A 27,407-nucleotide genomic window follows, 5' to 3' on the forward strand; every position below is an offset into this window, starting at 1 on the left:
TCCCTCAGCCCCTCCTCACAGAGTGCACATCCCTGGCAGGCGCTTCTGCTCACAGGTGAGGGGAGGGCTCCCTGGGAGTGGATGGGAGGAGGGAGCACAGAGACTGGCTGGGGTTTCTTGGAGAGAACGGGGACCTGAGAGGGACAGAGGGCTTCTGTTGGACACTAAACAGGAAGAAGGGATTACAACAGGAAAATCTAAATAATCTGAGGTTGTTAGTGAAGAAACAATCTCGATTGTTAATGTTTTCCAAGTGAATCATCACTGAGCAGTTAATGTTGAAAACAGATGACAATAATCACAATTTAAGTTGGGGTAATACTCAAGAAAAAAAACAAGGGACACTAAACAGAGCTCTGTGGCAGCACTCCTCATATAGGGGCACCAGCTGTGGGGGACGGGTGAATAGTGTACACTGACACACACATATTTTGCTTTGCCAGTCCAGCTGAGTCTGTCAGGGCCGCTTACAGACTCCCTGCTGAGTCCTATAAACAGTTGTGACCATGGCCTTGATCAGCTAGTGAGACTCATATTTATTCAGTAAGATTAATTAACAAAGGCTTGAGTCAACACCGTTAGAGGGTAATTGACATTGTGGACTTCCCAAGTAGAAAGCAATTAAGCACCTGTGGCACATCAATGGTTAGTCTTAAGATCACATGAGTAAACAAGCTGGCTAGACAAACTACTCTGCCTTCCTTTGTTACTACTTTAATTTGTTTAACTAAAGGTAAAGGGACCACCTTCAGTCAGATCTATTACCAAAGTTATGCAAAGTTTTTGGTCTTCCAAGAAGATTTGTGTCTATCTCTATAACTATCTCTAATATTTTTCCCACCAGCCTGATTGAACTCCAACAGAGCTCTTAGCCAACAACCTCAGCCATTGGAAAATAAATCCCACGTTGTGAAGGGCCCTGGGAACACTCATGAGCTCATCCACAGGAGTCCGCAGCCTGTCCCAGGCACTGGGGTGCAACCAAGATCACACAAGTCCCTGTTCTCACAGAGCTCATGCTCTCATAGGGAGGAAGACAGACATGCAAGGGTATCTAGAATGTGAGGTCAAGTATTGACAAGAGCCCTGGAGGGAACACAGCAGCGAAATGTCAGAAAGGGAAGACCCAGGGTCTCTAGAGGTGTCAGGGAAGGGGTCTCCCAAGGATGCCCTAATGTGAGCAGGACCTGAAGGCAGTAGGGAGGGAGCCAGGCAGACCCCTGGGGAAAAGGACTCCAAACAGGGAAATGCCAAGGTCAGAGGCACTGAAGGAAGGGAGGTCATGCTGCTGACCTTGGCCCAGTAGGACACGCACGCGCGCGCGCGCGCGCACACACACACACACACACACACACACACACACACACACACTCCAAGGCTGAGGGATGAAGAGACCTGTCCAGGACCTAGGGCCCCATCTTTCCACCTCAATGCATAGGGCCCAGTATTAACTGATGCTCTCTCCCCACTCCTAGCCTCACTTTTAACTTTCTGGAACTTGCCTACCACTGCCCAAGTCACTGTTGAAGCTGCAGAAGGCAAGGAGATTCTTCCACTCACCCACAATCTGCCTTAGGCTTGGCTACAACTGGTACAAAGGGGAATTACAGGATATGTACTAGGAACTCAAGTAATTACCCCAGGACCTGCCACAGAGGCTGAGAGACAATATACCCCAATACATGTCTGCTGATACAGAATGTCACCAACAATGACACAGGATCCTACACCCTACAAGTCATAAAAACAGATCTTGTGAATGAAGAAGTAACTGGCCAGTTTCACGTACACAGTGATGTCTCATGAGCTCTGGGTGTTGGGGGTCAGTTCTGCTTCACACACACAGGATTTTCAGGCCTGGGCTGTGCCTGTGTCCCCCTCTACATTACATCCCATTTGGGGGTTTGGACATTTAGTGCAAGACACACACAGGGGAGACAAACTTCCACAGATCAGAATTTCTTTCCTGCATCCAGACCCTGCAGGCACTTGCTACAGAGGAAGGACAGTCTGATGGGGTTGGGGGGAGGCTCAGTAAGGGGAGGTCAGTGTCAGTTCCCCCTCCTGGGTCCCCTCCCCATGGACGTTCCTTGTAGGACCATGTCAGATCCTGGAGTGAGGGGACCCCTGGGAAGCCCCTGTTCAGAAACTCAGCCCTGGAAACCCCTGTCCAGTCCCCTGTCCCAGGATCCTGACTCCATGTGACCCTGGGAAGCCTGTGCCGGGGCTGGGTTGAGGCATCTTGGGCAGGGCTGACTGGGAACAAGGATTTACCAGCTGTCCAAGGGCCATGGCTCTTGCAGCTGGTAGCCAGCCAGGGCTCAGCCCCCAGAGCCTCATCTGGGCAAGGGCAAAGCCTCGTCCTTCACATGAGACTTGGTATGGAGAAGACAGGTAAGCTCCCTAGGACATTAGCCGACTGCCCTGGGGAACTTAGGAGACTCCAAGGGAAGGTCAGCATCCCCAGGGGAGGAATAGAGAAGAGAGGATGTTCCCAGCAGCTCATTGTCCACCAGAGATCAGGCCCAGGGAACACTCTGTTGGAGGCAAATAATCAGAGACGGTGTATTCAGGCGGTTCCTTGGTACCAACCTTTAGGTCAGGTGATCGTGAATATTTTAAAAGTAATTCACAGACAACATGGCAAGCCACTGACCATTTATCATTGTTGGCAGAAAAATCGGAGATCTGTACGTTTGGAAAGGAGACTTTATTTCATATATTTTTCATTTTATTTTTCTATTTTTATTTTTTTTTAGAGACCGGTTCTTGCTCTGTCTCCCAGGTTTGAGTGAAGTGGCTACTCACAGGTGGGACCATAATTCACTGCAGCCTCAATCCCCCGAGCTCAAGCACTCCTCACACCTCAGTCTCGAGTAGCTGGAACTATAGGCATGCACCACTGCACCCAGATAGTTTTTAAAACAAACTTTTATCTTAGGTTCAAAGATACGCATGCAGGTTTGTTATATATGTAATCAGGGGTTTGGTATACAGATTATTTCATGATCCAAGTACTAAGCATAATAGCCAATAGGTATTTTTTCTGATCCTCACTCTCCTCCCTAAAATTTTTTTAAGAGACAGGATCTTGCTATGCTGCCCAGGCTAGTCTCTGGCTCCTGAGCTCAAACTATTCTACCACTTCAACCTCCCAAACCACTGGGATTACAGGTGTGAGCCACTGCACCCAACCAGGTTATTTCTTACACAGGGTTACAGCCTGCAGGCTGGCCATTCCCCAGGGTAGAAGATGCAGCCTCCAGCAGAGACCAATAGCAGGCACTTCAAGGGAGGGGAATGTGGAAGATAGATTTATGCTGAATGAGTTGGCCAGGTATACATATTCAACAGGTTATAGGTGGAGCTATGGATACTCACAAAGGAAGTACACGCACATGCGTGATCAACAAACATGCATGCTACATGCACCCCATGTTCACTTTGGGGTGGAGAATTCAGATTTAAATGTATTAAGTTAGGTCTTATACATCAAAAGATGAAACAAGCATTATGGTACTCAGTGCACCGTGTCTGTATACCAGCAGAACCAGGCCATGCTCAGTGGTCTCTTATTAGGAGAAAGTTACTGAAATCAGTCTCCTGTCCAATTGAAGTGTAGTTGTGGCTGTTGGAACAGGGGTCAGTTAGCCAGTGTTGGTGGATGAGCCGCGATCATTTCAATATTGCTTATCTCGAAGGCTAGTGTTACTTTAGCCGCTAGAGAGAAAGAAAATTCTGTGTTAGAACATAGCTTATTCTTTAAATGTAGGAAAGTGTGGCTTAGCCCTTGCCTGCATGACCTTAGGTTGAGTTTATAATTTGGTATCTTATGGCCACAGAGAGTCTGTTCTGTCAGTCTCATGATCTCGATTTTAGCGTTAATGCTAGTCAGTTGTCACCTCTAAACTTCCAAAGGGAGGGGCTGTAATGAGGTGTAACCTCCCATCCTGTCATGATCAGGAACTCTGGGATCCGCTTGGCCAAGAGGCCATCCTTTCAGTTCACTGGGGAATTAGAATTTTATTTTTAGTTCTCATTGTGTGTCCTATTTTACTGAGGGGAAACTGAGGCATATGAAGATACAGCCACTGGCCAGGGTACACAGACTACAGATGGCAGAGTCACTCGAGGTCACTCCCTCCCTCCTTCATGAGAGAACTACTGAGCGAGTGTGTGTCTCATATTGGGCCCTGTCTTGTGCAGGGTGTGAGTGGGGAGAGAAAGCAAAGTTCTCTCCTTTATCCTCTCATAGGAGTGACACCAACACATCGGGAAACACAGGATTTCAGGTCCAGTGAAGTGGGTATAGATCTAAGAGAGGAGGCCTGGACATTCCCAACATGGATCTGATGGTTGAGGCAGGTGATAGCGTTCTAAGTAAAATCTGATTAATTCTTCATTTGTTCCTCACTCCCCAGACCACTGAGGCGTGGTATTCTCCCCACCGAGCTGTGAAACCCTAAGAAGAAGGGAGCTGAACCAGTGATTGTGAAACAGCATCATTCATCTGGGGTAATACTCGAGGTTCATTGTCCCATGGCCATGGAAAACTAGGATGCAGGCACCCAGAGTGAAGTTAAGAGTGGAAGTTTCATAGGGGAAAGAAAGAGAAGAGCTCTCTGCACAGAGAGAGGGGTCCTGGGGAAAATGGGTTGCCACTTCCATAGTGAAATGCAGAAGGTTTTATAGATGAGCTTCAGGAGGCAGTGTCTGATTTATACAGGGGGTGAAAGATTGTTTAGACCAGCTGTGCCATTTGCTGGCTGCCCCACTCTGATCTTTTGTCATGCAGATGGATTGTCTACCTGGCCGGTGCCATGTTGCCTGGTTTTTTACTGTACATGTGGTAATGGAGAAAAGGGAGGATGGAGTCTCCATGTTGAACATACCTGGCTTCCAGGCAGCCCTTTTCTATTGGCACACCTACTGGAATTCACCTGTGCAAGCTTCCATCTTGCTCATCTACATCTGTAGCTCAATTTTTCAGGCTGCTCTTTGTTAGAAAAGGAATTATCTTGGGCTGCTTTTTGTTAAAGGGGAAACCTTGCCAAGGACGCTCTTACCCTCACTAACTTCCTAAATAATTTCTTTCTAGCTCCTGTGTCAGTTGGTCTGGGGTCCACAGATACCTTAAGGACCCAGGGATGGAGGAGAAGACGTGCCCTCAGCCCACTTTCAGTTGAGCACCTCCACTGATTGTCCACAGGGTCAGTGGCTCCGACCCCATCTGAGTCAGCAACACCAGAGTCACAGAAGAAAAGGATGTTGTGATCCTGACCTGCCCCACAGATGACTCTGGAACCTTATCCAGTGGATCTTCCATGACCAGCGTCTGTGACTCATGGAGAGAATGGAGCTGTCCCAGGGCCACTGTATGCTCAGCATAAACCCCATCAGGAGAGAGGATGCTGGGGAGTATCAGTGTGAGGCCTCCACCCAGGTCAGCTCCAGGAAAAATGACCCTCTCAGACTGACTGTGAAACAGGAAACATCTGAGTCCCCTCTTAGAAGTTATTAAACCCTAAATCAAATATTCTTTGTTTGGAGGCATTTTATTATAAAAACTTGATATTCATATACATAAACTAATATGAAGTTAAAAATTCATTATACACCTACTGTTTTTAGCTTGATCTTGCAGTAAATCTTTAGCTTCATTGATTGTGGCTACTATATAAGGAGACCCTCTTTTGTCTGCGTGATTTAAGAGCATAACATGTTAATGAGCATCTCTTATTTTTTTCTTTATTGGCAGTAGGGCTTACCCTACTATTACTAGTGTTCATTCATTATCTAGTATTAATGCTGCTTCCCGTTTTGTCATTTTGGGTTCATATCCACCTCTGTAGTAATAATCTCTGAAGGCAGATTTTGGTAGACTTTGAAACACTTGTTCTACTTGAGGTTTTATGTGCTTCATGGCTTCGCAAAATGTAACAGCTTGCAAATCCTGCAGCAGCGGTCAGTTCAGCTGCTACCACTGCACAGGCCATGGCTCCAGCTTGGCTCCCCTGCCACCACCAGGAGGGTGGATCATCCCAGCCCAGAGGCCGCACCCACCACCTACTTGGCTTTACCAGAGAGCAATGCAGCAGCCACCACAGTAGTCACAAACTGCCCAAGCACCTTTTTCCTCTTTAAAGTGGTGGTGATGATGCATTTACTTTATCGAGCTATTGTGAATAGTCAATGAAATCAGGTGACTTGCATTGAATCAATAAAAATGAAACACCTTGGAATGACATTGTCATTGTTGGCTTAAGGTCCCATTCAGTACCAGATTTTACTGTTTGTTACTGTCAGTTGCACCATCTCCACAGTGGTGGCAACACATGTCCCTCAGAGGATGGACCATGATTGTGTGTGAGGGTGGGAACACATGATCAGCTCTCAGGAGTCAACAGCTCCGTCCCTCCTCCAGCAGGAGGTGTGGATGGTGCCTGCACTCTGACATGGGCAAAGAGAATCAACGGGAGGGTGCCATGCAGAGAGGACACCCCAAATGAAATGCACTTCACACAATGCATCTGCCCATGTGGTCCTGGCCAGGACTGGGGAGGGAAGGGCTTGGAGATCCCAGATTTCAAGCTGAAGCCCTGAGACAAGGTGCAACCGCTGAGAGAAGGAGCACTCTGTGGAGAGATTCCCACCCACATCTACAGTCTCCACCCCATCTTATCCCATAAGGCTGGCATATCCCTGAAGGGCAGTGTGAAGAAGGGACAAGAGTCTTCTCTAGGGAGGACACTCTGGGCCAAGACCAAATGAAAGCTGGGCACTGGCAAGGACAAGATTTCTTCCACCATGAGATTTCACCATTGTCCTGAAGCAATGAACCCAGGCCCTCTTGCTCATGTGAAACACCGCCCGGCCTGAATCATGCTAAGGGTGAACCCAAGGCCCTGGACACCACCACCCTCCAGGCCTGTACCAGCCCCTGCAGGACTCATTCACCTGAACCAGCATCCTCCAGTCCTCAGGCTAAAGGGAGAGGTCTTTACCTCTTTAAGCTACAGGAGATTCCCAGATACCCGTATGTCCCTGGAGAGAGAGTCCACAGGTTGTCCACTTGGACCTGGCATAGATCTTCCTCTCAAACGCCCCAATGCCCAGGTGCTCTTCCTCGAAGATCTTCCTCTCCCTACAGGCTCTAGGAACTGTGAGTCCCTGAACTTTCATTAGAAGGAAGCTTTCCCTTCATCCTCCCTGACCCTGTGAGGGGCAGCTGGGCAAAGTGGACACCAAGATTAATAACTCCAGAGGGAACCCTCCCTGGAGCACAACACCCAGGGCCTATGGGGGTGTTCCCTGGTGGTCCTGGCCAGTGGTGCTGCCCTTCTTTCTACTTCCAAAATCCCAGACCACTGCTGCTCTGACTATGGGCTCCACTCCCTCAACCCATTCTTTTATTAAATGCCTTTTCTGCACCTGCTGGAGTGATTATATGGTTTTTGTTCTTGGTTCTCTTTAATGTGATGGATCACATTTATTGATTTGCATATGTTGAGCCATACTGGCATCCCTGGGATGAATCTCACTTAATCATAGTGAATGATCTCTTTTGATGTGTTGCTAAACATGGTTTGTTAATATTTTATTGAGGACTTTTACATCTATGTTTGTTAGTGATGTTGGCCTATGTTCTTTTTTGGCTTTGTTTTGGTTGGTTGTTTTTGAGAGATGGAGTCCCCCTATGTTGTCCAGACTGGTCTTGAACTCCTGGGCTTAAGCAGTTCTCCCACCTCAGCCTTCCAAAGTGCTGTGATTACAGGCAGGAGCCACCACACCCAGCTTGCTTTTTGTTTTTGAGAGAGCATCTTGCTCTGTTCCCCAGGCTGGAGTACAGTGACACAAACATGGCTCACTGCGGCCTCAACCTCCTGGGCTCAATTGGTCCTCTCACCTCAGCCTCCCGAGTAGCTAGGACTAAAGGCACATGCCACCATGCCTGGCTAATTTTTTTCTTTTTTTTTTTTTTTAAGAGATTGGTTCTGACTATGTTGCCCAGGCTGATCTCAAACTCCTGGCCTCAAGCAATCCTGTAGTGTTTTTTTGTTTGTTTGTTTGTTTGTTTGTTTGTTTTTGTCCTGTCCTTGTCTGGTTTTGGTATCAGGATAATGCTGACCTTGTAGAATGAGTTTGAAAGTGTTCCATCCTCTTCAATTTTTTAAAGCATTTTGAGTAGAATTGGTTTTAGTTCTTATTAAATGTTTGGTAGAATTCAGCAGTGAAGTCATTCGGTCCTGGGTTTTCCTTTTGTTACAGTTTCATGTTGGTTTGTTGGGTTTTTCTGCCTTTTCATGCTTCCATCTTGGTAGGTTGTATGTGTCCAGAAAGTTATTCATTTATTGTAGTTTTATTCCATTGTGGTCAGAACAAATGCTTGATGTGATATAAACTTTTTTGAATTTATTCTGACTGGTTTTGGGACTTAAGATGTGGTCTGTTCTGAAGAATGTTCTATGTGCTGATGAAAATAATGTGAATTCTGTAACAGTTAGATAGTTAGTGAAATGTCCCGTAAATGCCAGTTAGGCCTATTTGATCTAGTGTGTAGTTTAACTTTGAAGTTTCCTTGTTGATTTTCTGTCTGAAAGATCTGGCCATTGCTGAGAGCAGGGTGTTAAAGTCCCCTAATTAATATTGTATTCAGTCTATCTCTCCTTTTAGATCCACTATTGTTTGCTTTAAATACTTGGGAGACTTGGGAGCTCAAGTGTTGGATGCATAGATATTTATAATTGGCATCTCCTCTTGCTGAACTGAGCGCTTTATCATTACATAGTGACTTTCTTTGTCTCTTTTTATAGTCTTTGATTTGTAGTTTATCTTATATCAGTATAGCTACTCCTGCTCTCTTTTGGTTTCCACTTGCATGAAATATCTTTTTCCACCCCCTTCACTTTCAGTCTATTTGTATCTTTTTACATGAAGTGGTTTCTTGTAGGCAGCATATAGGCAGCATTCAGCCACTCTATGCCTTTTAATTGGAGAATAGAGTCCATTTATATTCAGTGTTCAATATTTTTAAGTAAGAACTTACTACTGCCACTTTGTTGCCTGTTTTCTGGTTGTTTTGTAACTCCCCTCTTCCTTTCTTCATTTTTTACTGTCTTCCTTGTGGTTGATTGTCTCTGGTAGTATGTTTTAAGTCATTGTTTTTTATTTTCAGTGGATCTATCATAGATTTTTTGCGTTGCAGTTACCATAAGACTTCCAAAAACATAGATATAACAAAGTATCTTCAAGAGAAGAAAAGGTAACAACTTATCTTAGATCACAAATAAAATAATAGAAACAGAAAACCCCCCAAAAAAACTCTACTCTTTAATTTCATCCTTTGCAAATTTTGACTTTGTCTCTATTTACATATTTTATATTACCTTTCTCCAAACAGGTAGCTATTTTTTTTTAAGACAGAGTCTCCCTCTGTCACCCAGGCTGGAGTGCAGTAGTGCAATCTCAGCTCACTGCAACCTCCACCTCCTGGGTTCAAGCAATTCTCCTGCCTCAGCCTCCCAAATAGCTGAAACGACAGGCATGTGCTACCATACCCTGCAAATTTTTGTATTTTTTGGTAGAGATGGGGTTTCACCATTTTGACCAGGCTGGTCTTGAACTCTTGACCTCAAGGAATCTGCCAACCTTGGCCTCCTAAAATGTATTATTGTTTTTGATAGATTTATATTTTGAGACTCATGCTAGAGTTATGATTGGATTACTTTCCACAATTACTATTTGAGTATTCTGGGTTTGTCTACGTACTTAATTTCACCAGTGGATTTTATACCTTCAAATGTTGTTATTGTTGTTGTGGTTATTTTGCATGTTAGTGTTTTTTTTTTACTTTCACATTGAAGTATTTAGTATTTACCCTTTAGTATTTACAGGAAGACTAGTCTGATGGTGTGAATTATCTCAGCTTTTGTTTGTCTAGGAAACTTTCTCTCTCCTTTATATTGAAGGATAACTTCACTGGATAAAGTATTCTCAAATGTCAATATTTTTTCAGCATTTTGAAAATGTCATGTCACTCCCTCCTGGTCTGTATGATTTCCACTGAAAATCTCTTGCCACAGAATTGGAGCTTCTTTATGCCATTTGCTTCTTTTCTCTTTCTGTTTTAAAATCTTCTCTTTGCCCTTGACTTTTGAGAATTCGATTATTTTATGCCTTGGGGGAGTCTTATTTGGGTTGATTCTTTCCTCTGATCCATTCTGCTGTTGAGAGACTCTAATAAATTTTCCTGTTCAGCAAATATATTTCTCAATTCCAAGATTCCTGTTTGTTTTCTTTAAATTATTTCAATCCCTTCGTTAAATTTCTCTGATAAATTTCTGAACTGCTTTTCCATGTTTTCTTGAAGATCATTGAGTTTCCTTAAAACTGCAGTTTTGAATTCTTGATTAGAGAGCTCACACATCACCATCTCATCAGGATCAGTCACTTGTTCCTCACTTTGTCCATGTGGGGAGATCATGGTTACCTGCTTACTGTTTCTTGTGGATGTAAGTCCAGGTCTTTACATTGAAGGATTCATTATTTATTTTAGTCTTTGTCTGGCTTGTTTTGATTTTTATTGGATAGATTTTCTTAGAGTTCTTTACTGCTAGGTCACTACCTCCTTTTCATCTCTAAGTTACCTTTAGGGTTTACCTTGGCCCTAGTAAATGATCAGAGTGTGCCCTTCCTAACTGAGGGAGGTCCCAAAGGGGATATCCTGGCAGTGTGGGAAAGCTGGCTAGATGTCCATGCCCAGGATACCTGTGAAACAAACCTACTACAACATGGAGCTGCTGAAACACCAGTCTGATTTCATGTCTCCCTTGGCTGAGTTACACAGCAGAGTTTCCAGGGAAGGAGATGGTAGTCCTGCCTCCCCACTCTTTGACTGTCCTCAGGGAAATTTCTCCCTTCGGGCACTCACAATGCTTCTTGTGGGTTAAGGCAGGGACAGGGAACCCAAGATTGTGCAGAAACTGGTTGCCCGCATTGATCTTACATTTCCCAGTGTAGAAACCATGAGTTGGGGTAAAATTTTCCACACACCTGGTACCAGGCAGAATGGGGCAGGGAGGGACATTACAGATGGGGAAATCTGATTCTTTTGTCATCTGTCTGGAGTTTTTTTCACTTCTCTGTGGCTCTGAAAACTGTTTCATTTTCATATTTGAGTTCTGGAATATATCTGGTAATAATTTTGGTGCTGTATATTTGTTTTTGGTTTTCTGTGTGAAGGAGTAAAGCCAGCTTGCTTCTATGCCACCATTTTGGAACTGGAACTGAGATATACAATTTTGATGTCTACTTTGTGTCTCTGTGAGGCAACAGATTCCCAGGGGTTTTTTTGTTTGTTTGTTTGTTTTTTCCAGATTTGACAACTGTCAAAATTGGGCTATGAAATGGAGAAGCAGTATGGATAATCACCCCATTACTTACTAGGTTTCATGTAATAAGTTTTAATCCTTAAAGGCCCCATTTCAACTCACATTGGGCCATATTCACTATCTTAACTGAGGTTTCATGGGATCCCATTTTGTCAAGCCAATGTCTAAGTACCAAAAACACTTCTATTTTATTTATTGTCTCAGAGCACCTATGTCCAATAGAGAATGTTTTACAGCAATGGGTATATGACTCCGGGAAATTTAGGCAAAGTTACAGGTAAATTGAGACATACCTGTTTTTTTCAATTTTATATTTAGTTTTCTTCTCAAGATAATAGGGACAGAGTGTTTAAATTTATGGGATTCCCACGTGTGGCTACAATTTGAGCCCCAGTATTGATTAAATCCATGAATATTTGTCAATTAGTGTATTTAGCAAATGTAAAGTTAAATTAGATCCTATGTTGTAGAGACACAAAAGCAAATTGGTGCCCTTTTAAAAATCTTTTTTTACATAAATTCCTTAATATATAAGTTAATAAATGAATTTTGAATTTCCAATAGAATCAAAGTATGAAATTTTACTTTGATTTAGTTACATATTATACATACATAATTTAACTATTTATTATATATTTATATTAAAATATTGTATGTGTATATATTTAATTACCTTTTATTTTTTCCTCCTATATCTAGGGGTTTGTTGTAAATGAATAAGTAACCTAGGGCTAGCATTATGTTTGCTAGACCTGTGGTTTGCTCAGTACTTAAAGTTTAAAGTTTCTCTTTTATTTTTCTTGGATTTGTAGTCAATCAAAGTGGTAGTTTCTTTTCTTGGGGGGTGAGGTTAGCCACCTAAAGCTGAGATTCTTGTTTTCTGTCTCTAGAATGATAAGAGGAAAAGATGGAGGAGGAAAGGTGGTCAGTGACTCTAGGGAGTAGCCTCTCTCTGGGATGACTCCACAACGACGAAACAAGCCCGTCTTTTTTTTTTTTTTTTTTTTTTTTGAGATGAAGTCTCACTCTGTCGCCCAGACTGGAGTACAGTGGTGCGATCTTGGCTCACTGCCGTCTCTGCCTCCCGGGTTCAAGCGATTCTCCACCCAAGTAGCTGGGATTACAGGCACCTGCCACCATGCCCTGCTAATTTTTTGTATTTTTAGTAGAGGCGAGGTTTCACCATGTTGGTCAGGCTGGTCTTGAACTCCTGACCTCAGTCGATCCACCCACCTTGGCCTCCCAAAGTGCTGGGATTACAGGTGTGAGCCACCGCTCCCAGCCCAAGCGCATCTTTTAAGCAAAATCTTTAAAATGGCTTGTATTTCTAGACGGTTAATGTCTTTTTCTTTTTCTTCTTTCTGTCTTTGGATGTTTACTTGACAAGTTCCTGATGGTACCCAAAGCCCCCTGTTGTTTTAATCTTACAACTTGTTAGCAGAATAAAATTGAGGGTGGCCTCCATGTGCACCAGCCTCCTAGGCAGCTGTTTCTCTTTCCAAGGTGACCCAATCAACCCCTGAGGTGTTGATTGTGCAACCACAGCAAGAAATGCAGAAACAAGGGAGCCACTAGCCCGGGATTGCCCCATCACATGAAGCCACGGCTGTGTCTGCAGGGATTATCCATGGCCCAGGGCCTAAAATTCGCATCCACCTTAGTGACTACAGACACTGCCGGTCTAACCAGGGGCAGCCTCCTGACAAGATTTTACTAAATGGCACTCTGCTATATCCATCAGGAGAACCACAGCTTCTCCACACGTTGTCACCCATTTGCTTTGCTAACAGAAATGGTATCTTGCCCTGGTCTCCATAGCTCACCTTGGCTCAACCTTGGGACAGTGAAAGAAAAAGTCAATACATGGCACCTCCATGGGGAAAATAAATGGGAAATGTCACTCCTCACTCTAAGGAGGAGTGGAGTTCACCCTCTGTGGATGCCTTCCCTATTAGGATTCCAGAAACACACCTAGCCCTTGCCCTAGATGGAGAATCCCCCTTCTCATGGGGTAGACCACCTTGGGAGCACATTACAGGTTCCTACTCGGTAACAATTTGGGGAGAACAACATGGCAGCACTCTACAGCAGCAACACAGCAGCACACAGTGGAGCAACTGAATTGCACTGAACAGAACGGCCTCACCAGTGAGGCAGCCACACCGGCGAGGATGTTAAAAGCCTCAGCAGCTCCGAGATATCTTGTGCTAAACAGAAGAGGTAGTCTATTGTGCCGACTACACCAATTTCTTAAATTTGCGATCTTTAAGATGCAGAGCTCTTGCCAATGATTGCGAGAGACATAAGATGAAAATAAAGATTTATTACTTACAGGTCCTGGGGGATACAGGCCCTGTCTGGAGGACACACACACACACACACACACATACACCCACACCCACACACACACACAGAGGTCAGGGGCAGTATGGGGAGGACAGAGGGGGAACCCATGGGTCAAGGCCTTTATTAGGGTACAGAATATTATTCAAACAGATTGTCCTCAGGGAGTTTTAATTGGTGGATTTAATGCAAGCAGACATGAGATCCAGGTAATTAGAGGTGGTCACTGCAGCAGGCAGGGTGTGGGGTCAGTGGGGCAGTCATACGGGCTGTATCCGGAAGTCCCATAGGGAGGAGGTCACCAGGAGGCAGTTGTATAAATCAGATATCTGATCAATCACACTGAGGAACTGGAAGGAGGTGGAGAACTGGAAACTATTTCAAAGGTGACTGAGCCCTGCTTCTGGTATGAGAAAGTCCAACTTCCATCCAAAACGGATGCCAAGGCATTGTAAAATTGTAAGCATTCACAAATACTTTCGATGCATTCTTATTTAGCTGACTTCTAGTTTTTACAGCCCAAATATCATCATTTTTCATTCTTATTTGGCAACATTCTGTTAGGTGCAGCATGTATGGAGGGCACCTCCTTTATTAATACATGTGGATTTGCTCTAATTGTGGTTTTTTCATTGGTTCCATTGCATGGCTACACTATGATCTTTTACCCACACCCCTGTTGCTGGATTTGAGGCTGCTCGTCACTTGTCACATTGACATGACCTTCTGCAGTGAACATCCTCATACACACATCTCTACCATGTGGAGTACTGTTCCTGGAGCTCATTCCTTCAACATGTATTTATGAAGTACCCTGTGCTGGGCTATTGGCTGGTCTCTGGCTTTAGCAGAGACAGAACAGGCAAGCTTGGCCTTCTCAGAGCTCACAGCACAGGGAGGCCTTCAGAAGTAGGATAGTGGTCAGAGCGTGTGCGCGTTAAACATGGTGAGGTCAATGTTGCTGTAGGGACTAAACTGCAGTCCCATCAGAAGTATATGGGAATGTCCATCTCCATGTCCTCACCTTTCTTGGCATAATTATTTGAGTACTGCATGTGTTCCTGTGTCCTATTCTTTGCCCACACATCATCCATATTTACCCTCTTAACCGTCCATCCTCCACCTTGTCCCTAAGTGCTGTTGTTAATAGCCCTGTGGTAGACCAGATGCCAGGAGCCCTGAGATATCCTAAGCAGCTCCCTCTGCCAGTCCTTCCAAGAGTTCTGGTTCCACAGGTGACACACCTGAACACAGGTAACCCCTGCAAAATCTGTGATTACCACGCAAGGCTGACAGTGAGTGGTGGGTGTTCTAGGAGGGGCCACCACCTCCATATGCAGGGTCAGAGAACACTGAGTGGAGCAGGAGGCTGATGACTTTGACCACAAGGTAGGTGGATGGGTATGTTTGGCTTTATAGGGAAGGGAAGGGAAGACAAGGGAAGACGAAGGGATAGGGGTGGGGAGGGGAAGGGGAGGGGAAGGGGGAGGGGAAAAGGGAAGGGGAAGGGGAAGGGAAAGTTTGGGCATTGCAGGCAACATCACAAAGGTTGGAACCTGCCTCTGGGGTACAAGAACAGCAAGGAGGCCACCCAGGATGCAGCTGAGGACGGAAGACATGGGGAGCAGTGGATCTAGGGGAGAAGCAGACTGTGATTGACCTTGGGGGCTGGGCGGTGAACAGAGGTGTGTTATGTGTGTCTGTCCCAGTCACAGATATGAGGAGGAGTGGGGCCGCAAGTGGCACCTGGTTCGGTGGGATTTCCTAATACCTGCTGTTCATCAGAGCCTCTCCATGTAGCATGTCAGTATAGATCTGAGGCTGTGTCTGGGAGGGGGAGCTGGTGGTCCAAGGCAGCCTGTGGTGCTTACTGTCCCTAGGGGTGGGAGGAGAGGGATGAGGACACCCCTGCGCAGTGAAGCCTCAGGTGTGTGGAGCCACAGGTATCTCACCTGGTGATTCTTGTCAGACACGTGCCTTGGGTGAGGATGTCAGGGTGAGAGTCACTGTCATTTTTCTTAAAATGTACATGGCATGGACCCAGGTATTCAGGGACCCAGAGAACAAGGCCCCTGGTGAGAGAGGGTTGCATGGAGCTGAGCAGTTTCATGTGCTCAGAGTGGGAGGGACTCCTGAAAAGACAAAGCCTCAATCCTACCTGTCAGGAGCCATGCCTATTTCCAGGAGAGATGACAAGGGTGACCCAGGACAGACATTGAGTGTGAGGACAGGACAGAGAGGACCCTGGTGGCTTCTCAGGTGTGGGAATGTGAGGTGGGGTTTGTTCCCATCCAAAGCACAGAAGCCCTCCATTGTACCCTGAGTGCTGTGTGTGACTAGCAGGGACACTGGATGGGTTGGACCTGTGCCTCTTGAAGGCAGGGCTGGATCTGTAGGACCAGAGATGCCTCTGTGGGTAAGAGGTGATGGGAATGAGGAAGATGGGGGTGACTGTGAACCTATTTTAGTTCCCTGGGGATGTGTGCTGAAGAGGAAGTGGCCTAGAACATTCCTTTTCTGGGTAAAGTGAAGCGGGGAAGCAGTGTGGATTCTTTTTGTTTTGTTTTGTTTTTAGATGGAGCCTCACTCTATCTCCCAGGCTGGAGTGCAGTGGTGCGATCTCAGCTCACTGCAACTTGTGTCTCCCAGGTTCAGGCAATTCTCCTGCCTCAGCCTCCCGAACAGCCAGGACTACAGGCATGAGCCACCAGGCCCGGCTAAATTTTTTGTATTTTTAGTAGAGATGGGGTTTCACCATGTTGGTCAGGCTGGTCTCGAACACCTGTCCTCAAGTGATCTGCCTGCCTCAGCCTCCAAAAGTGCTGGGACTACAGGCGTGAGCCACTGCTCTCGGCCGCGGTGTGGATTCTTCAGTGTGTTCTGATAGCCATGTGTCACTACACACTTGTTCTTTATGTCTTCACATCTCATCCTGTTGCATTTTAAAGCATGTTCATAGTATGCAGTTTTGCCTAATAAAGCATTCTCATATATACATACATATAGATAGATGATAGATAGATAGATAGATAGATAGATAGATAGATAGATAGATAGATAGATAGATAGATATTCAGACAGATCTTCAGGCCCCACTTGTCCCTGAGGAGGATTATTTGCCTATGGAAAGAACAAGCAGATGGCAAAGGCCTCTGACACCAAGCACAAGGCTCAGCCTGGAGGAGCTCACAGAGGAGCCCAGGAGATCCTCTCAAGCATCTCCTCAAGGGCTCAGCTGGGGATGGAGGAGCAGGATGCTGAGCTCAGCGGATGCTCCAGGCTGAGTGATGGATGTGCTTCAAAGGTCAGGCACAGAGAATCAGACGTTAATCATGGAAGGTTCCCACCATGTTGTAGGCAGAGACAGTGGCCTGAGTGTCAGGGGCAGGGAGACTCACCATGAGGCCAAAGCAGGCTGTGAGCCCCCCAAGAGACCACATCCTGGATGCAGCAAGCAGCCCTGCAGGGAGTGGCAGCAGATGTGCTAAAAACCATGATATCCAGACATGCAAAGGTTTCGCAATTTATGGATTAGAGAAGAATAGCATTATCCCTGTAATAGCTTCCTCTTTCTTACACTCTTTCTCATATAGAATAGAATGGGCAGCTTTTCCTGCAGTTCCCTCCTATCTGCATGCTCCCTGCTGCCACCTGGAAATTAGCCTCACTGAGTCACTGTCCGTGGTGCTGATGTCCATGAACTATTGAAGGGCCGGTGAGTTGTGATCTTTCAGTCACCTCTGCTTTCTGTTATTCTTAGCAACTAAGCATGTCACCAAGAAGAAGGTGGAGAGGTACTAGGGGCATGGAGAGCCCTCCGTCTCCCTCTCTCAGGATCTGGAGGGTGCTGGGGATGTTAATGCAGGAACTGACGCCACAGTCATGATGAACCCATCCAGGTGCCCATGTGTAGTTTGTAGTGAACGATGATGAGAAGATGGCCTTGAGAGGAGTGATGGACAGAACAAGGGCCTCTCAAAGATGTGTACATCCTCATCCCCAGATCTGTGGACATGTCACGTGGTAAAGGACACTTTACAGATTAAAGGAAGGATCATGAGATGGGGAGGTTGTTGTGGTTTATCCCAGGTGCGTCCAAAATAACCACAAGGCTCCTTCCTTTTAAGTGAGAGAGGGAGGTGGGAGGAGGTGGAGATGTGGGGATGGAAGCAGGGCACAGAATAGTTTCAAGATGCTGTGCTGCTGGCTTTGAAGATGGAGAAAGAGGACACAGCCAAGGTTGCAGGAGGCCTCTAGGAGGTGGAAAAGGAGAGGAAATGCACTCTTCCCTGGAGCCTCTAGAAAGAACACAGCCATGTGGGCACTTTGGTTCAGGTTTCTATGTCACTAAGCTTGTGGTAATTTGTCACAGCCTCAACAGAAAACTAAAGAGGCCTCACCTTGTCTCATCTGACGCTGTGTGCAGGTGGGATCAGGGGTCATTTAGAGCTAAATCCTGATGCAAATCCCGATATAAAACAACCCATTGCGGGTTGTTTTCTTACCTCTCATCTCAGGACGAACAACCTGTGGCAGTGGCAGAACACTCTTGGGAACTGTGGCTCTGTGCTTTAGTGCAGGCACCAGCTCACTTGTGGGAAGGTGGCACCTGGTTCAAGTGAACCTATATGAGATCATCACCCTTCCAGGGGCCCTCAGGGAAGGGCTGAGAACTGCTGTCCCAGGTGTGTGGAGGAGCTGCAGGCGAGATAGGGCTGTGGGCCAGGGAGAGGAGCAGACAGGTTGTCCCATCGCCATGGGAGCCTGCATGAGCTTTAGATGGGGGAGTCCTGCACCTCTGACCTGGATGCTCCTGTGTAAAGAGTTGGCTTGCTCAGTGAGATCCATGCCAGGGGGTAAAGTGGGAACTGATGAGCAATGAGGGGCCAGAGTCCTGGGTAGTGCTCAAGGACTGAATTATGCGTCTGTATTAATCTTGGTTGCTCTGACAGCCCCTCTCTGTGCCCCACCAGGGATAAAGATGTCCTGAGCAGTAGCCACTGGGACAGAGGAGAACCTAGTGGCCAGGTATAAGCACACAGGATCCTGGATTTGGGGACAGGTAAGTTCATTTGTGGAGGACAGTGATAGACTGGGCCTCCAGGGCCTGGGTGAAGAGGGCAGCAGGGGTCAGGACACTGGAGGCTGCGTAGGGGCCACAGCCGCAACCTATACCACCCATGGTTGCTCCCGCATTGCTCACCTTTTGTGGACATCAGATGGCCCCATCTTCTGTGCTCCTGAGACCCCACATGCATTCACAGAGGGACCCAGGCTGGGGCTGTGCATGGCCTTGGTCCCTGGGGTAGTGTGAGGACAGCTGAGCGCTCGGCTGGCTGGGCAGGGCTCATGTGAATCTTGCCCTTTCCTGTGTAGGGCCCACCCCAGCCTGACTCCCAACCCCTATTTCTGCCTCCCAGGGAAGAGAGACTGTGGTTGAGACAAGGTGGAGATATTTTCCCTGTGTGACCCGGGAGAGAATGGACACGGAGTTTCAGGTGAGTTTCTGCTAAGTTCCCGTGAGCAGAAAAAGAGCCAATGAGAGGAAGGGTCCTCTTTATTCAGATCCTTTCCTGGTGACCCCGGGTGGGCCACAGGCCCATTCACTTTCCTTGCAAGCCCCCGCTTCCTGTGGTGATGAGAGGCCTTTGTCCCGGCCCACCCAGAGCCCAGGGCAACCTGTCAGGGTCTCCAGATATTCAGCAGGGACTCCCATCCCTCCCTGTCCCCAGGCCTGTGTCTCCTCAGGACTCAGAGCTGGTTCTCTGGCTCAGGCTCCATGTCCTTCCCCGTCCCCAGGGCTGGGAGCTTCGGGGACGCTCCATCAACCCACAAGAGCAGCTCCCAGAGGAACCTAAGAGACCACATCTGCTTTGTGGTCGATCTGGCAGTAAATGTTTGCATCAGAGTATAGCAATTCCTGTAAAAACAGAGAAGAGGCCTCAACCCCTGTAGCCTTCTCAGAACAGTGTCTGGCATCTCCCAGGCTCTGGGCCCACCCAGGGCTTCTCTGGGGCTGAACCTGGCTGTGCTCAGGGGGTCCCTGTTCCCAGGCCCCTCCCTCCTCTGCTCACCACCACCTGTTCTCATTTTCACTGCATTTTCCTGAATCTGAGCTCAGCCAGGTGCTGGTGGGGGCAGATCCTGGGTCCCCTGGAGCCTGCGGGACCAGAACATCCATGGCCCACACTCACCTCATAGATGGGAGTGGCTGTTCTGGGGCTGGGTAGAGGGGCCTGGGCAGGGGAGAGAGGAGATGTCAGGGGACAGGGAGGGAGGGTCACGGAAGCCCAGCCTGGAAGGTTCCTGTCTCTGATCGGCCAGGACTTACTTCCCTGCCTCCACTTCCACTCATTTCCCCTCAGGATTGACCAGCTCTGCCCCTGAGCTCAGCCTCCCAGTGTGGACACAACACCCTGACCCCTGTCCTGGCTGGGCCCACCCCGCACCCTTGTTAATGTGGGCCTCTGACTGATGGTCCCAGTGTCCACTCTGCACCTGCTGGACTCCAGGGTTCTCCTCAGGTGTAGAGGGTCCCGGGGAGGGGTCAGCACATGGCGTGGGTGGTCCTGGCCCTGTAGAGAGGCCCGGATCCTGGCCGGAGGCACTCACTTTGACCTGACTGTTCTGGGGAAAGGTGGGTCAGTGCTGTGCTGTGGGGTTGATGGTCCCCCTGCCCTGAGCCTGCACTGTTGGGACCCCAGTAGAAAAGGGCTGGGGAGGGAACAGGCTTACCGAGAAGGTGGATCTGTGAGAGGGACCATGGCCTGGGGACAGAGACAGGAGTGAGCAGCAGGGTGGGAGGAGAGCCTGGGCCCCTCCTGCAGGAGAGTGTAGGGGTCCTCAGCTCCCAGAGAATCAGGGAGAGGGAGCCTCTTCCCAGGGGAGACCTGAGCAGCTGAGGTCGAGGAGGTGACCCACGACCCAGAGCCCACAGATCAGTCTGAACAAGACAGTCGGGGTCCCCTGTGTCATGTTTCCTGACATCCTCCTTGCAGCCCCAAAGAAAGGGTCAGAGGCCCCCAGGGGGTGACTGGCAGGAGTGGACACCGTAGGGCAGGCCTAGGGGCTCCCACACCTGGGCTGAAGGGACACTCACCAGGGGTGGAGGCTGGGGGCGGCTGCTCCCTGAGGTCACGCTGGATGCTGGCCCTAGGAAAGGTCAGGATTATTCATGAGGGTGCAGGGAGAAATCACAGGTTTAGGGGCAGAATAAAGGACAAGGAAGGGACTCCATTTTCAAGGACTGGAGTGAAGGCCTCCTGTCTCCATCAGTTTCGTGGTAGGAGCGGCCGAGGACGGGGAGCTGAGGATAGGCCTTAAGCAGTCACGTCTGTCCTGGCCAGAGAGGAAGGACCCCCCCAGGCAGATGCCGGGTGAGGAGAACATTGACCCAGGGACCCAGGAAAGGGACTGAGGACTCAGGGAGGGAATCAGACCACCTGCGTTTGCCTGAGAGGAAGGGTCAAGGCCCCAGAGGGAAAGCAGGGCCGGCTGTGTGTGCAGGACACTGGGGGAGCTGGGGGCATGGGGAGGCAAGGAGCATGTATCATATTCTCCCAGAACTCAGTATCCCTGCCATGGCCAGACCCTCCTTTCAGGCCTGGAGATGCTGAAATGGGGCAATGGCCTTGTCCTCTCTCTCTCCACCCCTTGGCAAGAGACATAAAGGACAGCAGGTCCTGAGGTCCAGGTTCTCCCATCTCACACCTCAGGGACATCAATCACGATGGGGTGCTGACCCTACCCAGCCTGTCCAGGCTTTGCCACTCCCCACTGCGTGACCATGCCCAGGACCCCCACCATGGATCTCAAGCCTGCAAATCCCTCCTCACTGGGTGGGTAAATTCAATGAACAGCAGAAGGTACCAGGTTCTGAGCACTCCCGTCTTATCTCCCTCCCTCCCTCCCTCCCTTCCTCCCTCCAGGCAGCTGTGGCTTTGCTGTGTTAGGGAACTAGGACAGCACTCAGGGGTGCAACCTTAACTGTGCCACATTCATAAAGGAAGAGGCAGCCTAGGATCAGCAGCTGGCAAGGGAGGAGCCATGGAATGAGAGAGAAGGATTCCTTGGGAGGATGCGGAAAGCCTGGCCCTGAATACAGGGCGGGGTCTCCCTCCTCCCTGACTGGGGTCAGCCTAGGGGTGGGAGGAGGCTGGGGAAAAGCTGCGGTACCTTCCAGTCCTGGAGAGAAGCAGAAAACACACCAGGGCGGCCACCAGAGCCACCCCAACCAGGACCCCAGTCACGATGCCAGCGACGGCCCCCACAGGAAGGCCTGGGACGTTGTTTTCTGCAGAAAGGGGAAGGCAAAGGGGACAAGGCCCAAGTTTGTTCCAAGGGAAACCATAAGAGGCATTGCAGGGCAGGGGCATAGTCAGGGAGGAAGGAAATGCTCCAGAGCCTGAGTGTGGTCTGTTGGGCTGTCCTCATAGCTGACTCCCTTGCTCTCCACGGTTGCACCATTTTCTGTGTCTCAGACTTGACACACTGGGATGTACCAACTCCTACATTCTCCCACAGGTGCTTGCACCTCGCCCTGCTCCTGTACCTTTAAATCCCTTCTTCCTCTCATGTCACACCTCTTCCCTCTGTTGCTTTTTTCTTTTTCTTTTTTTTTTGGATGGAGTCTTGCTCTGTCACCCAGACTGGAGTGCACTGACGCAATCTCGGCTCACTGCAACCTCCATCTCCCAAGTTCAAGCGATTCTCTTGCCTCAGCCTCCCAAGTAGCTGGGATTACAGGTTTGTGCCACCATGCCAGGCTAATTTTTATATTTTTAGTAGAGATGAAATTTCGCCATGTTGTCCAGGCTGGTCTTGAACTCCTGACCTCAGATGATCTGCCCGCCTCGGCCTCCCAAAGTGCTGGGATTACAGGCATGAGCCACTGCGCCCAGTCTTCCTCTTGTTTCTTCTTTTCCATTCCATGATTGTCACAGAGAGCGAGCCCTCACTGTCAACTCCATGCTGATGAGCGGGGATGATGTTCATTGACTATTTTCAGGGGTCTTCCATGTGCCAGGCACAGTGGGCACCAACCTACCTACAGCTCATCTCATCCTCACATCACCTTGAGGGAGAGGGGCATCACCGCCATCTGCAGAGTTAGAATCTGAGACTTACAGTACCTCAGTAAGTCAAGGAAGGTCACAGAACTCGTACATGATAAAACCAAATTTTTACTGCATTGTTCCTGATTTTATTGCCAATAACAACATCAAAAAAATAAGAATACTAGTTGATAGCATCAGTTGAGCTCTCGCCCTGTGTATAACTCTGCTTTAATCTCTTTAATCTCCTAATAAACATCCTCACAACCACTCTGAGATCCAGGTGTTACAGTGAGTTTGATCTCTAGCATATATATACATATATATAGATAGATAGATAGATAGATAGATAGATAGATAGATAGATAGATATAGTAGCTGTTGTTATTCTTTCTTAGCCTGTCCATCTCTCTGCTCACAGCATCCGTCTGTTCTGCACATTGTCTATGCTTTCCATTGCAGCCTTTAGCATATTAGCCAGTATTGTTTTTTGTTTGTTTGTTTTAGAGATGGAATCTCGCTCTGTTGCCCAGGCTGGAGTGCAGTGGCACAATCTAGGCTCACCGCAACCTCCGCTTCACAGGTTCAAGCAATTCTCCTGCCTCAGCCTTCCGAGTATCTAGGATTACAGGCACCCACCACCATGCCTGCCTAATTTTTTGTATTTTTAGTAGAGACGGGGTTTTGCCATGTTGGCCAGGCTGGTATCGAACTCCTGACCTCAGGTGATCTGCCTGCCTCGGCCTCCCAAATGCTGGGATTACAGGCATGAGCCACCGCTCCTGGCCCCAGAGTTGTTTTAAATTCCTGGTCTGATAATTTCAACATCCCTGCCACATCCCTGCCACATCTGCATCTGGTTCTGATGCTTGTTCTGTCTTTCGAACTGCATTTTTTTTTTTTTTTTTTTTTTTGCCTCTAGTCTGTCTTGTAGTTTTTGTTGAAAGCCAGGACATGATGTACTGGGCAACAGGAACTTGGGTGAGCAGGCGTTCAGTGATGCGGTGGTGAGTGGGGGGAGGGAGGGGTTCTGTGGTCCTGGATAGAGTCTGTGCCCTGGGCTGTGAATGTCACAAGTGCCTCTCAGTTTTTTCTCTCCTTTAGGTGGGACATGATGGCTAGAGGGGGCTGGAGTTGGATATTTCCCACCCCCCTCAGTCAGTTAGGCTCCCATAAACCCCCAGCAGGTGAGGCTCTGGTAAAATAACGATTTATTCCTGCTAACTAATAACTATCTGAACTTGCTAAGAAGAACAGATGCTCTGGCATATTTTTAAATATTTACTTTTTTTCTACTCCCCAGAAAGGATAGGGGGGATTATTATGGGATATTCATAGTGAGAACCAGGTAGAGCTCCAGGGTGTAAGGCAAACGTGTGGGACTACCCGCAAGCCTGATCCCTCCCCTGAAAACCTTCCCACAGCCCTGCAGCCCCAGGGTCAGATGAGACTCAGCTCCCAGGGGCAGATTTAGGAGAAACGGGCCAGATGAATGAGACATGGGTCTTAGGCTCTAGAGGGACAGAAAACAGGTGTGGCCAGAACCTCCTAGGATCTTGTATCCACATCTCTGTCTCTGAAGAGGTTATAGATCATTCCTACATTCAATCCCTCCCTCCTTCATAAGAGAACTACAGAGTGTGTGTCTCACGTTGGGCCCAGAACCTCCTAGGATCTTGTATCCAGGTCTCTGTCTCTGAAGAGGTTATAGATCATTCCTTCATTCATTCCCTCCCTCCTTCATGAGAGAACTACGGAGTATGTGTCTCACACTGGGCCCTGGCTGGTGCAGGGTGTGAATGGGGAGAGAAAGCAAAGTCCTCCCCTTTATCCTCCTGTTGGAATGATACCCACACATCAGAAAACACACGAAACCATTTCATGTCCAGAGATGCGGGGTGTGGACCTGAGCGAGGAGGCCTGAACTTCCCCAGCACTGACTGATTGTTGAGGCAGGTGATTTAGTTAAGAAAAAACTGATTAATTCTGTATTTACTCATAACTCTCCAGACCAGAATCTCCCCCTCCGAGCTGTAGACACCTAAGAAGAAAACATCCGAACCAGTGGCTGTTCTGAGGTCCACAGACACCTAGTAAGGCACCAGGGATGAAGGAGAGGACGTGGCAGCAGCTGCAGACAGCCCTCATGTGACTCTGCCAGCTGCGATCTGCCCACCGTGGCCGGTGTCTGTATCTCTCTGTGCCTCAGTTTCCCCTCCATACAATATGTAAATGGAAAATGGTCTGAGGCTTGCCACTTTGTCTGTGAATGAACTTTAAATTATTCACAGGATCTGACATGAAGCTTGGCACAGAGGAGGTGTTCACATCAACAGCATCTGTTATTTGCCTCCATGGGAGAGCACCCCTGGGCATGATCCCCGGTGGACAAGAAGCTGCCAGGAACATTTTCTCCCCTCTGTTCCTACCCCTGGGCCACTGACTGCCCAAGGGCATCTCTTAAGCTCCTCATTCAGGGGGCCAATGCCCTAGTAATCCTGTCCCCCTGCCCTCTCCAGGCTGAGTCCCAGGGAAAGTGGTAGGCTCTGTCCTTGTCTAGATGAGACTCTGGGAGCTGAGCCCTCACTGATGAGAAGCTTCAGGAACCACAGCCCGCAGACATCTGGTAAATCCTTGCTCCCAGTAAGCCCTGCCCAGGAGACCACACCCCAGCCCTGACACAGGCTTCCCGGGGTCACACGGAGTCAGGAGTCCTGAGGCTGGGCTTTTGTGAGGTTCCCAGGACGCCCTCAGGCCAGGCCCTGACCCAGTTCTCCAGGGTCTTTCTCAGGGTCAGGTTCATGGGGAGGGCATGGGGTGCTTGGCTGAGACTGACCTCCCCCTGCTGAGGCCCCCCCGCCCCCGCCATCAGTGTCTGCAGGGCCTGGATGCAGGAAAGGAATTCTGATCTGTTGAAGTTTACCTACCATGTGTGTGTCCTGCACTAAATGCCCAAATCTCAACACGGGACAAAATGCAGAGGGGGATGCAGGCACAGCCCAGGCCTGACAATCTCATGTGTGTGAAGCAGAACTGACCGCCAGCACCCAGAGGTATGGGGGAATCACTCACGGTGTACGTGGAGCTGGCCAGTTGCTTGGTCAGAGTCGTAACTGGCATTTATGGTTCGTAGGGTGTAGGATCCTGCGTCCTCCAGGGTGATGTTTTGGAACAGCAGGGATCCATTGGGGTATACTGTCTCTCGACCACTGTATGCGGCCCCTGGGATATTTGCTTGAATGTCTGTTATATAACCAGCAATGAGAGGGCTCCCTTCTGCCGTTTTCCCCTTGTGCCAATAATAGGCTTGAATAGTTTCTGAAATATTGCAGGCCAGTAGAAGAACATCCTTTCCCTCTGCAGCACTGGACGGCAGGGCTTCAATAGTGAACTGGACAGTGGTGGGCGGGTGCCAGAAGGTTAAAAGTGAGGCTAGGAGGTGAAGACAGCATCAGTCAATACTGGGACCTATGGAGTGGGATGGAAAGATAAGGCCCTGGGTCCTCAGCAGGTCTCCTCATCCCTCAGCCTTGGAGTGTGTGTGTGTGTGTGTGTGTGTGTGTGTGTGTGTGTGTGTGTGTGTGTGTGTGTGTGTGTCCCTGGGTCAGCAGCATGACCCCCATTCCTTCAACAGCTTGGACCTTGGCATTTCCCTGGTGGAATCTTCTTCCCCAGGGGTCTGCACGGCTCCCTCCCCACTGCCCTCAGATCCTGCTCACATCAGGGTGTTTTTGGGAGACCCCTCCCCTGACACCTCCTCTAGAGACCCTGGGTCTTCCCTTTCTGACCTTTCCCAGCTCTGTTCCCTCCAGGGCTCTTGTCAGCACCTGACCTCACATTCTAGATCTCTTTAGGTGTTTGTCTTCCTCCCCATGAGAGCGTGAGCTCTGTGAGGGCGGGGACTTGTGTGATCTTGGTTGCACCCCAGTGCCTGGCACAGGCTGCAGACTCCTGTAGATGAGTTCATGAGCATTCTCAGGGCCTCCAAGTCCTGAGGTTTATTTCCCAGTGTCTGAGGTTGTTGGCTAAGAGCAGTGTTTTATGCCCTGGTTATGTTTTTATTTGAAGTGTCATCTGGTATAGTTATTATCATTTTTCAAAATGTAGTGGCCAGTGATGATTAACCAGGACGAGAGAACACTTGAGATTTTCCTGCCTTTTACCAATTCCAGTTCACTGAGATTTTCCTGTTGTGACCCCTGCCCCTCTCTGATGTTCTCTCCCTTATCCAGCCTCCAACAGAGGCCCTCAGTCCCCTCTCAGAGCCCCAGGAGACCCCAGCCAGAAGCCCTCTATCCCCTCCTACCCAAGAGACCCCAGTCAGTCTCTGTGCTCCCTCTTCCCACCACTCCCAGAGAGTCCTCCCCTCACCTGTGATCAGGAGCCCCTGCCAGGGCCTGTGCCCTCCACGGGGAGCGGCTGAGGGGGGGCCCATGGTCTCTGCTGCCTGCTTGTCCTCTGTGGAGAGGAGCTGGGCTCCAGGAACGCTCTTGTCAGAGCTGCTGTGACTGTCGGCTGTCGGGGCTGCTGACCTTCCTCCTTCTGTGCTGAGCCTCCTCCCGGGCAGAAGCACTTCCCAGGGCCAGGGGCAGAGGCGGGGCTCTTCCCAGGTCACCCCTCT

General features: G+C 48.6%; 1 protein-coding gene, 1 long non-coding RNA gene and 2 pseudogenes across 29 annotated transcripts; 2 read left to right on the forward strand and 2 right to left on the reverse strand.

The window, feature by feature from the left end:
* Nucleotides 1-1,314: 1,314 nt before the first annotated feature.
* LOC105372404 (uncharacterized) lies at nucleotides 1,315-6,242 on the forward strand. The gene is made up of 3 exons (XR_935971.3): nucleotides 1,315-2,810; nucleotides 4,422-4,515; nucleotides 5,099-6,242. It is a non-coding gene; the product is annotated as an uncharacterized LOC105372404 (long non-coding RNA).
* CEACAMP3 (CEA cell adhesion molecule pseudogene 3) lies at nucleotides 1,514-1,761 on the forward strand (annotated as a pseudogene).
* DNAJC19P2 (DnaJ heat shock protein family (Hsp40) member C19 pseudogene 2) lies at nucleotides 5,797-6,103 on the reverse strand (annotated as a pseudogene).
* Nucleotides 6,243-13,693: 7,451 nt separating the features above from the next.
* On the reverse strand, nucleotides 13,694-27,332 carry CEACAM4 (CEA cell adhesion molecule 4). Of its 28 annotated transcripts, none has more exons than XR_001753593.2 (8): nucleotides 27,158-27,332; nucleotides 25,859-26,218; nucleotides 21,909-22,026; nucleotides 20,833-20,885; nucleotides 20,469-20,554; nucleotides 19,928-19,969; nucleotides 18,937-19,033; nucleotides 13,694-18,342 (listed from the first exon to the last, which is right to left on the reverse strand). XR_001753593.2 is itself a non-coding variant. In XM_047438093.1 (7 exons), exons 1-7 carry the CDS (start codon nucleotides 27,219-27,221, stop codon nucleotides 17,727-17,729), a joined length of 681 nt encoding a protein of 226 aa, XP_047294049.1. In that variant the 5' UTR covers nucleotides 27,222-27,332; the 3' UTR covers nucleotides 13,694-17,726. The 28 variants fall into 28 exon arrangements, 21 of the variants coding, with proteins under 21 accessions (XP_047294049.1, XP_011524654.1, XP_011524656.1 ...); XR_007066550.1 differs by lacking the exon at nucleotides 18,937-19,033 and having other exon boundaries at nucleotides 17,588-17,738; nucleotides 18,239-18,546; XR_007066549.1 differs by lacking the exon at nucleotides 18,937-19,033 and having other exon boundaries at nucleotides 17,588-17,766; nucleotides 18,239-18,546.
* Between the last annotated feature and the right edge of the window lie 75 nt (nucleotides 27,333-27,407).

This window comes from Homo sapiens, chromosome 19 (assembly GCF_000001405.40).
Source record: "Homo sapiens chromosome 19, GRCh38.p14 Primary Assembly".
NCBI lineage: Eukaryota > Metazoa > Chordata > Mammalia > Primates > Hominidae > Homo > Homo sapiens.

Coding starts and splice junctions, on each gene's coding strand:
- CEACAM4 (XM_017026199.2), bottom strand. CDS start 27,221: ATGGGCCCCCCCTCAGCCGCTCCCCGTGGAGGGCACAGGCCCTGGCAG. Junction 26,219..27,157: donor GCAGGGGCTCCTGATCACAG/GTGAGGGGAGGA, acceptor TTCACCTCCTAG/CCTCACTTTTAACCTTCTGG. Junction 19,970..20,468: donor CTCACAGATCCACCTTCTCG/GTAAGCCTGTTC, acceptor TCCCCTGCCCAG/GCCCCTCTACCCAGCCCCAG.